The sequence below is a fragment of the Homo sapiens genome, chromosome 14, assembly GCF_000001405.40.
Source record: "Homo sapiens chromosome 14, GRCh38.p14 Primary Assembly".
NCBI lineage: Eukaryota > Metazoa > Chordata > Mammalia > Primates > Hominidae > Homo > Homo sapiens.
This window is the reverse complement of record NC_000014.9, coordinates 93,753,632-93,770,118: the sequence shown is the minus strand read 5'-3', so window position 1 is coordinate 93,770,118 and position 16,487 is coordinate 93,753,632. Positions and strand designations below refer to the sequence as shown.

General features: G+C 51.6%; 1 protein-coding gene across 3 annotated transcripts in view, besides 1 other annotated feature; it reads left to right on the top strand.

The window, feature by feature from the left end:
- Positions 1-16,487, top strand: part of PRIMA1 (proline rich membrane anchor 1) — a 70,697-nt gene that overhangs the window by 18,876 nt on the left and 35,334 nt on the right. The gene's annotated exons all lie outside the window — the stretch shown is intronic.
- Positions 9,782-10,282: an enhancer, noted in NCBI's record as "H3K4me1 hESC enhancer chr14:94226183-94226683 (GRCh37/hg19 assembly coordinates)". NCBI's record gives its function as "activates a minimal SCP1, AML or CMV promoter by ChIP-STARR-seq in naive H9 embryonic stem cells {active_cell/tissue: H9 hESC(naive)}" and the evidence as "EXISTENCE:reporter gene assay evidence [ECO:0000049][PMID:30033119]".

Sequence of the window (16,487 nt, the reverse complement as noted above, 5' to 3'; positions counted from 1 at the left end):
GCCCTGGTCTAAGTTAAGATCATTCTGCAGCAGGGACTCACTCAGTGATGGCTGTGGCTGTAGGGGGAGAGCGGAAGCAAGAATGCTGCTAGGTTTTGAGGAATGACTGCGTGGAAGAAACCACCAGATGTCACTTGGCGCCCCCTCTCCTTGGTCCTCCTGATATCTGTGATCTCATGAATGGGATGATGAAGCAGACTCAGGTGGTGCAAGGAAGGCGGTGGCTCAGTTTCCCCACCTCCACCATCAGTGTGTTTTAGCTGCTGCCATCAGAAGGACCCAGGCTCTGGGACATTCGCAAGAATCCAAGGTTTAACTAGGCTTCATCATCATCAAATGAATTCCCTGCTGCTGGTGCAAACCAGAGTTTCCTCCAAGTTGTGATGAGTTTCCGACTAACAAAAGAGGAGGTCCAGGCCTGGTGGGTCGCAAAGCTGAGCGACAGGCACAGCAAGTGAAGCCAGTCCCCGTGACCCGCCTTCCCTGCAGGCGACAGGCTCCTTATGAAACCTCATGAATGCCGCTGCCCTAGCCCTTGGCTGGACGCAGTGTGAGCCTGTGACGAGGGACTGTGGGCATCAAACACGGGCCATGTCACTTTGAATGTCTCCTGCTTCAAGGGCTGTGTTCATGCCCAGCTCACTGTTGCCATTGATTCCGGCCTCGGGGTGTTGAATGCTCGTCTTTTGCTACCCTGTGATCCACTTGCCTGGTCTGCAAGCAGGAGGGCCTGGAGGCCAGGCCAGGCTCTTGCTCTTTCCAGATGTGTGCTGGTCACTCAGCCTCTCTGAGCTTCAGTTTTCCCGTCCTCCAAAGTGGGTTGTGCAAATCACACATGCGAGGTCCTGGCCCAGCCCTGGAACATTGTCCACTCACAGTAAATGAGATCTCTCGTCACTGTATAACCCTTGCTTGAGTAAAGTTCTTATCCAAACTGGCCTCAGCTTCCTCATTCATAAAATGGGCTGACTCTGCCTTGCATTCCCCTCTGTACAAAGCACAATGCAGGTATGAACATGACTCCTATCTCCAGATGAGTTTGAGATCCGTAAGAGCCTCTAGAATGGCTGGACTTTTAAAAAAGTGATCTTTAGCCAGTTGTGTTGGTGCACACCTGTAATCACTGGCCTTTTAAAAAAGTGATCTTTAGCCGGTTGTGGTGGTGCACACCTGTAATCTCAGCTACTCGGGAGTCTGAGGCAGGAGAATCGCTTGAACCCTGGAGGTGGAGGTCGCGGTGAGCCAAGATCGCACCACTGCACTCCAGCCTGGGCGACAGAGTGAGACTCCATCTCAAAAAAAAAAAAAAGAAAAAAAGTGATCATATCTTTTTTAAGTACTGAATTTTCCTCTCCCAATGCAGTAAAAGGAATTGTTTCAGTCTTCTGTTTATTTATTTGTGTCCAGCAAATAATCAAAGCTTGCAAGTTTATACATATTTTAATTTACTCAACAAACCTTTACTTATTGATTTATTGAACATTTACCAAGGTTGTGCCATGGCAAGTTCTGGAACTACAAAGGTGAATTCAACATAGCCCTGCCCTCGGACTCCTGCCTCTAGTTGGACACTTGAGCCCTGGTTGCTTGTTGACAACACCTGGGGGCTTTAAAAATACCTGATACCCAGGCCCACCCTAGACGGGAGTTTAAAGCTGCCCCAGGTGATGCTCGCATGAATCAAGGTTGAGACCTTTGGCTAAAACCAGTGGCACAAAGAGACCTGTATCAAAATAGAAACAGGTGAGGTGTGATGGAACTTAGACCCAAAAGACTGGGGGAGTTGCAGGCGAAGAGGTGGGGAGGACAGTGCACCTTCTCCGTGGCCCCCTGCTGCCAACACGGCCACTAATATGTTTGCAGGGTTTAGGCCAAACTCAATCCTGCCCTCCAGGGGTTCTGTGTCTTATGTGGAGTCTGGACTGAACATTGAGGTGGAAAAAGGGACACGTGTGTCTTCAAGAGGCCGCATCCAGGCCCGGCATATGCTTCCTGGGTGCTTTTTTTTTAAAAAGAGATTTTTTTGTTGTTGAGGTAAAATTCATACAATGTAGAATTCACCATTTGGACCATTTAAAAACATAGAATGTAAAAGGTCTTCAGTATATTCACAATGTTTGCAACCATCACCACCGTCTCATTCCAGATCATATTCCTCACCCCTAAAAGAAACCCATACCTACCATCCCCTGCAGCCACTGATCTTCCGCCTGCCTCCATGGATTTGCCTGTTCTGGACATTTCATATGAACCTGAGTGTTCAGAGGCAGGTGAGCAAGGCAGTCCAAGCCTCAGTTTTCTGATCTGCTAGTGGGGATGATGGCTCATTCCTCGCTGTCTCCAGGCAGAATGGAGAGGGGGGGTGTGTAGGGTCAGCCTGCCACCTAGCATGAGGCAGGTGCTCGGAGGGTGTGGCCCCATAATGGCAGGAGATTCTGCAGGATGGGGAGTGTGATCCTGGCTAAAAGTCTCCACCTTTGGGCTCAAGGGCTAGCTCCGGCACCCCTGGAACTCTGGTCTCAGGATGGCATTGTTCTGCGATTCCCAGCATCGGCTGTGATGCAGGAACAGTGAGTTGACATTCACCTTGGCATGAGTTTGCTGAAGGGTCAGCCAACCCTTTGCTCCTGACCAAGGCCCCACTCCCTGGTTCTGGGCTCTGGGACCTGATAGTGCCGGGCATTCTCTAACTTCCCATCCCTTTCCCTGCTCCTCCTCTCTCCAGCAGCAGGGTCCACAGTGAGACTCACCTAGTTAGAATCTTGTGACCTTGGGAAAGCCTCCTAACTTGACTAACCTCAACTTCCTGATCTGTAAAATGGGAGTCAGCCCACCACTTACTCAGTAGGGTTGTTTTGAATATTCACTGAGATAGAGATAGTTAGTTAGCCCAGGGCTTGGCATACATCGTTCTTAATAAATGTAGCTGTTGTGACGTTTGCTATTTCTGATCAGTATCACCTTCTTGGTCTGCCCACCCCCTTCAAGGCCTTCCTCTCTCTTGGGCACAACTTTCTCTGCCCAGAGGATCTTGTCAATTATTGCAGACGTTGGTCATGGCGACGTGAGGTTGGTTCAAGTCTTGTAGGCCACTCTGCCCATCAGTGGGCTCCAAGACTTGATGCCCTGTCATTTGTTCATTTGTTCATTCCTTCATTCAGTCCTTTCGCTGTGTCTCATGCACTGGGTAGAGATGAAAATAAAGAAGATATGGTCCTTATCAGTTAATCAGTTTGTATCTTATTTTCCTTCTTCATTTCTTCTTCTTGAGTTGCAGAACTTGACTTGGCCATGCACACTGAGGGCATGAAACCCAGTCATTGGTTTTGATTGTTTTGGTTTTGCTGTTCATGGGAAAATATTAAAGTGGATGTCTGCAAGGGGTCTTTGCTGGGTGTGGGGATATAAGTGGACTCATTCACCTTCAGGGCTGAGGAGCGTCTGCAATTTGTTTACCAAAGGTTTGTTGAATTCTCTGTGTCATGCTGCATGTGAGGCCCCAGGATGCAGTGATGACTAGAGTGAGGCTCCTGCCATTGCTGCATCCAGCTCTGTCCCGTGGTTGAAATCACACATGTGTCTGCAGTGGGCAGTGGCAAACTCATTTGAGTGGGAGAGATGCTGGCCTTGAGGGGAACCAGGAATTCCTTGGGTATCACCTGATGCTGGCTCTTGGAGGCTAGAGGCTGGCTTCTTGTCATCCAATCATCCATCTCTCCCAGCACACCTGACCCTGAGGTGACTCACACTCGGAAGGGCCAAATGACTTGCTCAAGGCCACCACCAAGGGAAGGCTGTGGGACCCAGACCCAGGTCTTTGGAATCTGGGTCTTGTTTTCTTTGCCTCTGCTGTTACCCAAGCACAATAGATGCCCTGAGCCATGTCTCAGGCAAGGGTGCTTTGAGGACATGTTCATTTCGTTGAACCATGAGGAGGCATTGGTTTGCTACCGTAGTGTCAAGAGTAGATGAGCATCTTCTGAAAAACTGGTCTTTAAAAAAATCTACAGCCACTGTGCCTTGTGTAAGTGGCCTGGCTCCCTCTTGGATGCTACCTGGAAAGGTGGAGAAAAATGTGTGGCCCTGAGTGCAAAGGACTTTTGGCTTCTTCTTTTCTTAGCAGCTTCATGTTGGGTTCAGTTTTAGGTCACTACCCTCATTTTATATATTATCGATGAAGGCAAATTAGAAAATCATCAAGTAACATAAATGACTTAGAAAGCATAATTTCTGGGGAAGAGAACTTTCAGCTGGCCTTTAGGGGGCTGCAGGGATGGAGCATGAGGGTCCTGAGAACTGGGGGTGCTAGGATTGGAGGTCTTCAGTGTTGACTTGGTTTCCCCAAAGTGACTGATCATTAAGAGGGAGAGGAAGAATGTCTAAGGGACATAATTTGAAGCAAGGATACTTATCACTTGCAAGCTTATTCCCACGGTCCTGATTCAGCAGCTAACACCTGCACTTTCTTTCCCCAAATTCCAGTGATTTGGAACCCAGGTGCCATGCTGTAGCTGTGTGGCCTCAGAAAGGAGCTTTGCCCTCGTGTAGACCTCCTTTTCCTCCTCGGGCTGATGAGAGGGTCAAAAGGAATAATATGTTCAGTGCTTACAATAGTGTCCAGTACAGGGTGGCCACTCTGCCAAGGTTAGTTAGCTCATCTTATTATGAAATTCATCTAGGATGCCCCACTTGTGTCCAGGACAAAGCAACCAGTCTAACCTATTAAGTGTCTGATCCGATCCCTGAGGACAGGAACTGTTTATGCCTCTGTGTCCTCAGCGGCAGCACAGGGCTGGACACATGGAAAGTGCATGCTGAGTGTTTGCATAAATGAATGCATGCATGGCTGGATGACAATGATGAAAGATCAACTCTGGAAGAGAAAGGAAGTAGGGAGGGGGCTTACATTTTGTAAGAGCCTGCCATTTGCCTGGGAGCATGTGGGGCCATGTCTCGGTTTTGGTTTCTCCAGGAACAGATGCTGAGACAAGGATTTAAGTACTAGTGGTTAATTGAGAGGTGATCCCAGAAAACACCAAAAGGGGAGTGGGGGGGACTCAACGGGGAAGGGACAGTAGCCAGTAAAGGGTGCTATGTCAAGCCAATAACCCCAGCTCAATTCCCCCAGGAGCTCTGGGAAATGGTGCATACATGCCTGAGAGTTACCCCATCCTGCAGGAGCCAGGGCATATATGCACTGCCTCCCACCAGGCACAATTAAGAGCTGGTCCAGGAAACGTCAGAGTCACTTTCCTGGGCAGATATATGTGGCTGGAAGGCACCAGCAGCATCTGCTACGGGCAGTACCTTTTTCCGCTGTGACTGCCATGGGTGACCTGACACCTGCTCACACTGGATGCCTCTCTCCCCTCTGCGGCTCTAGCTAGGAGTCCACACCTCTCTCTCCCACTCAAAAAAGTGCATCAGCATTTCAGCAAGTGTTCTCCTATCATGGGGAGACCTAAATAACATATTTAAGGAGCAGTAAATCACTCACAAACATTTATTCATTCAACAAATATTTATAGAGCACCGAGTGTGCCAAGCACTACATTGTGGTCACAGACTGAGGATGACGCAGTGGAGAAGACATGGTGAACCCGCAGGGAGAGTTCACGGGGGAAGATTAGGGTTCTGTTTTTTCTCATGTGGAGTTTGAGATGCCTGTGGACAGCTTTGGGGGCGGGGGGGCAGAACATGCAGGAATTGCAGGCTAAACAATCCCCAGGGAGGGGCTGGCTGAGAGGAGAGGTGTCCGACCAGGGCAGGTGTCCTGGAGGAGGTGCTGGCTGGGCTGGGATGGGAGACGATTCTTCAGCTGAAGGCGGGGGTGGGGGAGGGGAAGAAGGGCTGTGCTTCCACAGAGGGACCTGCAGGTTGGAGGCCAGAGAGCTTGGTCTGTCCTCTGAGAGATGAGCCAGAGGGGTGAGGGCGGGCCAAGCCCGGCAGCCTGCAGATTCTGGACTTAGTCTCCAAGCAGGGAACGGCAGCTTGGGCCAGGCAGTGCTGGGGGGTTAGAAGGGTGGGAGTTTGAGAACCTTCAGGACTCAGTGACCGACCAGACATGGTATGAGGGAGGAGGACTGCTGGGTGCCAGTGTCTGATCAGATGCTTCTCTCGGAGGAAGAATGTGACACACGGAGATCCCGAGTCCCAGGCTTTGACACAAGGTGTTGGAGGTGCCATGAGACAGCAGAGGAGGCATTGGCTGGTGCCTCTGGAGTTGAGGACAGAGGCCCGGGCTAGCCCCAAGGATGTGGGGTGGAGGCACCAGTGCTATGGCTCCAAAGCCATCAGAGATCACTGGGGAGAGCGTGGGGCGGGAGAAGAGACGGTGGGGACTGAGCCAGCAGAGGACCAGAGGGAAGGAGAAGAGCCAAAAACTGTGCTGGGACCTTGTGAGCCAAGGGAAGGAGCTGAGGACCGGAAGTGCTCACCGATTAGCAGACGGGGCACGCATCCACCCCACATCCACCCCCACTGCCCCTTACCCGCTCCTCCCTCAACCCTCCTCTAGGCCTGGCACCTGCAAGCTGCAGAGTGGAGTGGAAGGAAGGAGGAGGGAGCAGCCAGCTCTGAAACAAATGGCTGCTTCGGCTGGGGGCCATGGAAGACAATCGGTGGTGTGAGCTTCAATAGTCCAGGGAGGCTTCAGGGAGGAGGCAGAGCTCACTGCAGGCCTGGAAGGTGGGGAGAGATGAGCTCAGCCTCAGAAGGGTGAGCTGGCCTCCCAGGGTAGGCAATGGCATGAGCAAAGGTCAGGGAGCAGCATGGGTGTGGCCAGAGATGACCAGGGACCCCCAGTGCTGTCACAGGTGTGTGCACTGATCGGGGGTTTAGAGGCAGAGTCCCCGGGATGCCGGAAGCTGAGGCTCGGGAGGCAGGGGCAATGCTGGGGGGGCAGACTTTTATTCGATCAAACATTTCTTGAGCATTTCTGTATACTAGGAGCCTGCAACACACTATGGAACAAAATAGATCCTGAGTTCATATGCTGGCAGGGGGCAGAGGGACCAGAAAGCCATGGATATGCTCGCCCTGTGAGCTATCCAGTGTGCTGGAGGCAGCAAGTGCTATGGGAAAAAGGAAGCATGCAGCAGAACAAGCTGGGGTCGGGTCAGGTGGCAATCTGAAGAGAAGGTGGCATTTGAGTGGAGGCTGGCAGAGGTGAGGACCAATGCAGGCTGGCACCTGGGGAGACTGTCCCAGCAGAGAGAACAGCCAGGGCTGAGGCCTGGGGTGGAGGAGCAGCAAGAGGCCTATGTGCCTGGAGTGAAGTTGGGTGCAGGGACAGGAGACAAGGATGGAAGAAGCAGATGGAGTGGGGCCTACAGGCCCACAGAGGGTGTTTCTTGACTTGGTGTGAAGTGGGGAGCCCGTGTAAGGTAGGGCTGAGGACAGGAACGATCTGACTCACTCCCTATTGGACAGTCTGGCTGCTGTGCTGAGATGAGACTGTGGGGGTCAGGGCAGGAGCAGGGAGACCAATTACAAGCCTGCCACAGTGACTTGGGGGACAGGTGACAGCCACCGGGACCAGGTGGCACCAGGGGGGATGTGAGAATGGTTGGGTTCCGGATGGGAGCCTACTGTACTTCTGAGTCAGCCTGGTTCTGATGGGTGGTGTCCCAGGGGAACAGGACAGGGCACAGAGAAGATAGCTGGACCCTTTTCCCTGGAGTGGGCCTGGGATTGGGGGGTGGGGGGCTGTGCTGGAGCCAGGACGAGGCCATCTGATTTCATCTCCCAGCCAACCCACCGAGCAACAGCTCCAATCCCAGCAGGGATTTGATGAGGCCGCCAGTAAATGACTGGCTACTGGTGCAATTAAAAGGGGAGGGGAATGGTTTATGCATCTGCCGGGTGGGAGACGAGCACTATCACATCAGGGCTTCTTGGTGCAAAGTCGAGAGAGCTTCGTCACTGTCAGGAAGTGCTGGATTGGGCTGGGAAGGTGGGGCCGGCCCCACCTGCATCCCACAGGGTCCCAGGACTGGCGTGTCCCCAAGCTGCCTCCTGGGCTTCCACATTACCGCCCAGGCCCTGGCCCAGGGCAAGGCCCCTCTGACCATCGAGGGAGGTTGTTTCTGTGGATACAGAACAACAGTCAGAGTCTGTAAGCAATACCATGTGAGGGGTGTCCTAAGGAAATCAGTGCTGACAAATGAAACAGAAAATCAGAAAGAGGTGGAATATGCTGGGAGGCAAGAGCCACTCTTGGTTTTTGCTAAAAAAGTGCACAGCCCAAAACTCTTCTAATTTTCATAGTTAAGAACCAAGAAATGGAATCTGGGTGTCCAGCGGGAGGTCACTGCAGGTGGTCATGAGGTCCGTTCAGTCATTTATTCACTCAGTGAACATCTGTTGGGCACCGACTATGGGCCAGATGCTGTGGGAGAGGGTGGGGAGCTGGAGATATAGGGATGATTCTGGGGCGGGAATAGAGACTACAGAGAGGGCCCTACCTTCCATAGAGAAGGCATGCCCAGGAAGGTCTCTCTTTGAGCTGGCTGATATTGGAAGGAGGAGAAGGAATTAGCCCCTTGAAGACGAGGAATAGCATTCCAGGCAGAGGGAACAGCACATACAAGGGTCCTGTGGTACAACCATCAGGGTTTGAGAAACCCAGAGAAGGTCACACAGCTGGGCACAGTGACCACGAGGGACAGTGGTGTAAATGAGACTGGGGAGGTTAGTCCCAAAATCATGCAGGGCTTTATAAACCATAGCTTACATAGGACAGAGGTGGGTTTTTTGTTTTTGTTTTTGAGACAGAGTCTCGCTCTGTTGCCCAAGGTGGAGTGCAGTGGCACAATCTCCGCTCGCTGCAACCTCTGCCTCCTGGGTTCAATCGATTCTCATGCCTCAGCCTCCAGAATAGTTGAGATTACAGGTGTGCGCCATCATGCCCAGCTAATTTTTTTTTTGTATTTTTAGTAGAGACAGGGTTTCGCCATGTTGGCCAGACTGATGTCGAGCTCCTAGCCTCAAGTGATCCACCCGCCTTGGCCTCCCAAAGTTCTGGGATTATAGGCTTGAGCCACTGCGCCCAGCCAGAGGTGGGTTTTTTTTTCAAGTGCTATGGAAAACTGTTGAAGAGATTCTGACCATAGGGATGACACTTACAGATTTGCTTCTTAAGACAATCACTGGCATCTGAGTGGAGAATAGATTGGGGTGGGGGTAGTAAGAGGGCTGGCAACAGACCAGTCAAGAAGCTATAGATGTTGTCAAGGTGGTAGAAGTGGTGGGCTGGACTGGGGCAGCAATGGAGGGGGAGAGAGGTGATAGGTGCCAGATGTAGTGTGAAGGAAGATGAGAAAGTGAGGCCAACAAGTGTTTGCTAAGAGTTTGGTGGCCCTGGGGCCATCTGCCAGCAAGGCCATTGATTGACCCAGCTAGTGTGTACTGAGCACCTCCTGTGCACCAGGTGCTGGGTGGAGCAGCCAAGGATGAGTGAGAGCTGCTCCCTGCTCTGGTGGAGCTCACCAGCCAGGCAAGAGGGGATAAGAAGCTGTCAGCCAGCAGGGAATTCAATGGGCACCAAGTGCTGTAGATGGGCCGTGAGCCATCAGGGATGGCTGCCTGGAGGAGGTGGCACTAAACTCTGCCTCCGAGAAAGTTAGGACTCTGAAGAGCAGAATAGGGAGGGGTGGAAGGGTGGGTGGAGGAGATGCTCCAGGTAGAAGAAATGGCATTCACGAAGACGGGTGGTATAGGAGGTTTTGGGGAACCTCAGTACAGTCCCACTTAGGGGAGGTAACAGGAGTGGGAACTGTCTCAGGGTGGATGGGCAGAGGAGTCTGGCTGTGATTCTGGAAGATCTAAAGGTTTCTGAGCAGCTGAGTTAGTCGAGGTAGGACAATGAATCTCACGGAGATGGGAAGGAGGCCGAGTTCCCCGCTCATGTGTGTGTCTGTGTTCGGTTCCTCACTGTGGCAACCACTGATTTCAAAGATTGTGCCAAGACGTTGCCTTGTTTTGTTCCCCCTGGCAGCCCAGGCTGTGGGGCTTGATTTATGCTGCCTCTCCGTCTGCTCCTGTCTAAATATGGTCAGGCAGCCCTCGGGGACGGCAGCTGTTGCCCTGTGGCAAGGGCCTTCCTGCAGCTTGTCAGCACCGGCTGTGACCTGGCTGTGGCATCTGTGCTGCCCTTCGGCCCCTGGAGGAGGAGCCCAGTAAAGGTTCAAGTGTCTCAGGCCAGCCTGTCTGGGAAGCTTCCAGACTGTGATGTCCAGGCCGGGGCCTCTGCCAAGCAGGGCAGGGTGGTGAACACCACGTCCTTCCTAGAAGCTCCTCTGCCAGGGACACCTCCCCCTCCCCACTGCTTGCTCTCGCTGGTCTGTGGGGCTCCCGGGGACAGAGCTGCCACTTGCCTTCTCACTCCACCAGGAGAATGGCTGGGCTGAGGAGATTCTAAGCTCCGTCTGTGCTGGAAATGCAAAGCGTCCTGGAACACTCAGGGAGGCTTCTCATCATAGGTGTTCTTTCTCCTTTCCCTCCCCTCCCTCTCTAGCCCTCTCCGTCATGCTCTCTTTTTTGCAAGTTGACGTGACTCCTCCCACGTGCATGCACACACAATACACATGCACACACACGCACACACACATGCACACGCACACATGCACGCGCACACACATATATGCATGGACTGCCCCCCGCCCCGCCCTTCGCTCTCCTTCCCTTTCTCACCTTGAGCAGATTTTATCCCACCAGTGGTTTTCAGTCAGGGGTAGAAACACCCCCTAGGATGCATTTGGAAATGGGGGTGTCTAGGTTTTGGTTGCCACAGTGACTAGGGAGTAAGCACTACCGGCATTTACTGGGCAGGAGCCAGGGATGAGAAATGTCATGCAACTGCAGGGACAGTTTCACACAACAGAGAACTGTCCCTCCCCATAAGCCAATAGAGACCCGCTGAGCAACTGCTTAGCCCTCAAGCCTCCTTTCCAAGCAGCCAGACTTCAAGTCCTAACCTCGTGCCCTGCGGAGAGTTGATTCTTTCCATTTTTGGAAAATTCAGTGACCCCCGTTGCTATCATGGAAAGCGACAGCTGTCTGTTTTGATGGTTCTGTTTCACTGCTGTATGATAGTTTTGGGCTATTCCAGATTCACTTGTGAACCATTTACTGAACACCTACTACCTGCCAACAACAGAGAGATGCAAAATATTCAAAACCCAGGCCAAGCCCACAGAGAGCGGGCAGGTAGCATTGCCGATTGTCTTTGGTGGTCTTTGATGACCCCACCAACATGCAGGCCTCTGGAGGGTAGACAGTGGGCCCTCATCATCCCTGAACCCACCCCACAGAGTCCATTGCACAATGCTTTGCTCATGGTACACTTAGGAAATAGGTGGCACATTGAGTTGATCCAGGGACTCCACATTGGTGGCTACTGACATTCTAAGTGGCTGGAAGACAAGAGTGTCTGTGTCCTTCATCAGGGCTTTTGTTCTACTCTTTGCTTTTGAATGTCGATTATTTCTTTTTCTTTTTCTTTTTCTTTTTTTTTTTTTTTTTTGAGAGTCTTGCTCTGTTGCCCACGCTGGAGTGCAGTGGTGCAATCTTGGCTCACTGCAACCTCCACCTCCCAGGTTCAAGCAATTTTCGTGCCTCAGCCTCCCAAGTAGCTGGGATTACAGGTGCACACCACCATTTAAATACAAAAATTAAAAATAATTTTTGTATTTTTAGTAGAGATGGGGTTTTGCCATGTTGTCCAGGCTGGTCTTGAACTCCTGACCTCAAGTGATCTGCTTGCCTCGGCCTCCCAAAGTGCTAGGATTACAGGCCTGAGCCACCACACCCAGCCAAATGTCAATATTTCACTGGAACTTTTTTGTCATCTTATGTGGTCAGCTGCTCATATTTAGGCCGCGTCTTTAAAGACTTGATGTGTGTCAAGACTTCATTGGCCATCCTGTCTTTGGTTGGTTCCCTAGTGGCAGAGCCGAGTAAGCTGAGCTGAGACAGGGGTGTACCCAGGAGGAAGCTGTAAGGAAGCGAGGGAGGCAGGACAGGAAAGTGAAGGAATGAGCCAGGGCGTGGTTTCAGCTGGAATGTTCCATGGGAACCCCCCCGTATCTCTGGAGTGAGAAGCCTCACAAAGGAAGTTCTGCCTTGAGGCCAAGAGCAGCCTCCTAGGCCCCCCATCAAAGCATCATCGGCTCCCCGCGAAGGGAACCTGTGGGTGGACACCAACAGTGTCCGTCATGTGTTCCTCTTAGAAGTGAGGAGAGGCTCCCTCCTTCACACACAGGGTTCTCTTCAAGTTCTTGGCCTAAACATAGCAGAATCGAATGGCATTAAGAGCTACCAGGTTTATCTTCCTGCTTTTGAGATTTTAAAATATTTCCCTCCGTTTCCTCTCCCTTCATTCCTTTTTTTCCCCATTTCCACTAAACTTATGTTCCCACCAAGACAAAGCCCACCACTCAGCCCACTGCACAGACTCAGAGAGCTTGAACGACTCCACACAAGGAAGAGGCCAGCTGTCACCACGTGGCCTTCAACCACAGACCAATTGCTGGGCGAAGCCCCCTCCCTCCAGCCCCCACCCCAGGCCGGAACCCTGGACTCCTTCACAGTCAGAAATACATGAAGGATTTTCTTCCCATCTCTGAGAACATTCTGGTCCTTATAAGCAGCAAAGCAGTTTATCTTTTTATTCAACTAATCTGAGATGCTTTCTGTGGGCCACTTAAACCCTGTGGGATTAGCCGGCTCTGACGTGTCCATAGAGCCGCTCATCCCTCCCATCCCTCCGAAGGGAACGGATCGGCGGGAGTGTGAGCTCGAGCTGGTGGTGGTGGCTGATGGTTCTCAAGTGCGGCCGTGTCAGAGGGGCAGCCATTAAGTAAGAGGACTCCCTTCCTTCCTTCCTTCTTTCCTTCCTTCCTTCCTTCCTTCCTTCCTTTTTTTAAACCCACGTCTCACAATTTCTCCATCCCCACTTGGAAGTGTTCCCACTGCGTGCTGGCTCTGACAGTTCTGTCACTGCTTGGAAACTTTCTAGATTCTTCCCTACAAGGGTTTAGACTTGAGTGACCCAAATGGGAGAAATATTTCGCAAAGGCCATGATAAAAAGGTTGGGTTTTCTTCTATCTCTGGTAAGAAGCCTTTGAAGGACACTGAGCGGGAATGTAATAGGATCTCACTTCACTTTACAAAGAACCCCCTGGGTACCGTGGAGGGCAGGCAGAGAGACTGGCCCAGAGGCTGCTGTGGAGGACACGTTTGAAGGGGACTTGCTGCTGGATTGAACAGAGGGAGGGCTAAGGGAAGGCTTGTCCGAAAGACCCGGGTTCCTGAACTGAGCAGCTGGGTGAATGGAGGATTGGGGGAGGAGAGGGGCAGGGGAAAGATGAAGGTTGGTTTTGGACAGGGAACCCAGAGCCGGCCTGTGGACCACCCCAGTGGAGACACTGAGTCGCAGCTGGATATGGAAGTCAGGGGGCTGGGGGACGTGCTGGGGCCGATGCTGTACACATGAGAGTAGTTGGCATCTGGCTGGGACTTGAAGGCATGGGACTGATCAATTTGTGGGGAAGAGCATCGATAGGGCCGGGGCGGGGTCGGGGTCCGGGGCCAGGAGCTATAGGACCTTTCCTCCTGCCCACCCTCGGGTAAGACGCCCGGGCAAGCCAGGGAGAGGCAGAGGACAGCCCCAGGACCTAAGAAGGCTGCATTTATTTTTTACTTTCCATTTTTTAGGATGACAGCTTCATTTCCCTCCTTTATTCCCAGAGAGATGATAGATTAAAATCAATCCATGTCTGAGGCCACAGCCTGGGCCACTGCCCCTCAGAAGTCCAGCAGTGGCAGCCATTAGATACTGCACTAATGAGCCACGCCCAGTGTTTAAAAAAAGAAAAGAAATGGTATTTAAAATCAAAGATATTTCTTATCTTAGGCCAGGCAAGGTGGCTCACACCTGGAATCTCAATGCTTTGGGTGGCCAAGCCTGGAAGATCACTTGAGGCCAGGAGTTGACCAGCCTGGACAACATAGCAAGACCCAGACTTAAAAAAAAATCCAGATTTCTCTATTGTCTTTTAAAAATTGGCATCTCACAGGGCTCTCAACCTGGATTGCAGACAGCACGAGGCTAGGGAGGGAGAGAAGGAGAGAAGAGGCAGCTGCGTGTGGGAGAAGAGCTTCGGGTGGGGAAGAGTAGGGCCACGGAACCGCTGGAGTAATCTCTGCTCTCTGGGGTGCATGGCGAGCCCTTCCTCACCTCGCCAGGCACTCGTGGGTACAATGCTGGGTTCTCATTACCCTTGTGGGTTGGCTCTGGGGGGTGGGAGGGATGCTGAATTGTCTCCACAGTGGATTTGGGCCAAGGTCCAAGGCCACAGGAGCCCATCATGTCTGGTTTTCCACGTCTCCAGCTACCAGAAGTACTGGAAAAGGGCTGTACATGCCTTGTCTGGGTGTGTTCTGGAAATCGGAATATTTCAAATTTTAGCAAAGTAGTACCATGTATAGACCATAGATGAAGTAACACCACCAGGCAGTCCAGTGCCCAACGATATTTCTCTAGTGAAATATGTAGCCATTCACACTAAGTGAGATGAACCAAGACCACAAAGAACCCCATTCCTACTCGGCTCTGGTTTTCCTACTCAGTTAGTTTTGGCATCAAACTGCTTTTTGGGTTAGGAAATTACCAATAAAGGGTTGGAGTCCTACATCTGAAAAACAGCCTCTCCTGAACTGGTGAGGTAAATTGTGGTACATCCATTCAGCTCGTAAAAAAAAGAAGGTGGCCCCCATCACACCGATGTGAAAGCATTGCCACAGGTAACAAGTGGAATGTGCACTGCATCTCACAGTCATAGCATCCCGGCGTGTGCAGGGTGCTCGCACTCAGGATACATATATACACACACACACACATCATCTTGAAAGATACATGGGAATCGGTTACCTCCTCCAATGGTTGCCTCTGGGGAGGGAGCACCTGAGCTAACTCTTAGGCCTCGGGTTTTTTTCCCCCACTGACCAGCTTCTGGATGTTTCTAGAACCTTCCAGGTTATTGGTTATATTTTATGGTTCAGGAGAGTCCAGAATTGGGAATGTCAGTTCCCAGAGAGCTTTCGAGACCTCACCTCACTTCCTGGTGAGGAGCCAAGCCAGCCGTGCCTTCCCAAAGGCCTCAGCTGCTGTGGCGCTTGCTTCTGGTAACTTTGGTTTTCTAAAGCAGGTGGACGTGGCTGGTTTCTGAAGCGTCACCCTGTCTGTATGACGCAGCCCTCACCTCTGAGACCCCATTCATGTCCCTGTCAAAGTAAGGTGATGGAACAGTCGATTATGGTGAGCTGCATGGCCGGCTGTCATGAAAAATAAAGAGTGGGTGGCAGTGACTGGGTTCTTGAGGGGCTCAATGTCCACTGGATTTTGAAATAATGTGCTCTGGGAGCTCATGACTGTAAGGAATTAAAGGGGAAGAACTTGTCCTGAAAATGATATACATTTCTCCCTTGCCGAGAAGTTTAATTCCCTTTTCCCTCCCTCCTATGATCCAAGGTGTGGGTGTGGCCAGCTTTGCCCTCTCTGGTCTTGCTCACCTATCACAGTCTCTTCGGTTGAGTTTAGTCTTGCTGTCTGCCCTAGGGAGGGATGGATAGAGGGCTGGAGAAGGCGGGGACCAGAGGACAGAGGTCAAGGCCCCCCCCACCATGGCCCCCCTAGGCAATGTTAAAATCTTTTATGCTGGACCAAGGCACTGCTGCTAAAAATCTAGTAGCAGTGGTCTCTGCCTGGTTTGCAGTGGGACATGATAGAAAGAAGATGGACTTTGGGGTCAGATTGTCCCAGAATCCCAACTCCACAATTGGGATTGTGAAGAGCTCCACAAGCTCTTCGTTGAGCTTGTTCTCACTTCAGTCAAGGGGGACAGTGACACCCACAGCTCCTGATGGATCAGGAAACTTAAATCAGATGTCACCTGGGCAAGGTGCATGACAAGTGCTTAGCAACTCTTATCATCACGTTTTTATTAAGCAAGTGAACATCCTTTAATATAAATATTTTCCTCCATAAAATTTTCTGAAACCTTAAGCATTTGCTCATTTGCCAGCAGATGGCAAGTAACAAACAAACCCTAGCGAAGGCTCAGAGACAGCACAGCAGGCCCAGCCCAGAGGGGTGGCCTTTTGCATGAACATAAGCAACGGTGCCCGTGACTCTGTGTAAATCGCCATCATAGCATCTGTTATGAAGGGAAAGGCAGTTCCTGGTTCACATTGTGGGATTTCGTGTTTCCGGGGGTTTGGCAGCGTGCACTTTAACTGGGAGCTGTTCTGCCTGGAATAGGTCAAAGTTGCCCTGCTCACCTACACCTTCCTTCCATTATCAAAGGAGTCCTCTCCACAAAGGGGGCAGCATCATCTCTCCACTTAGGCAAGGGTGGGTCTCCAGTGGCCTTTGGGAAAGCTCTGTTGTCGGGCCTTCTGCCTGGGAAAGATGGCGAGGTTCTGC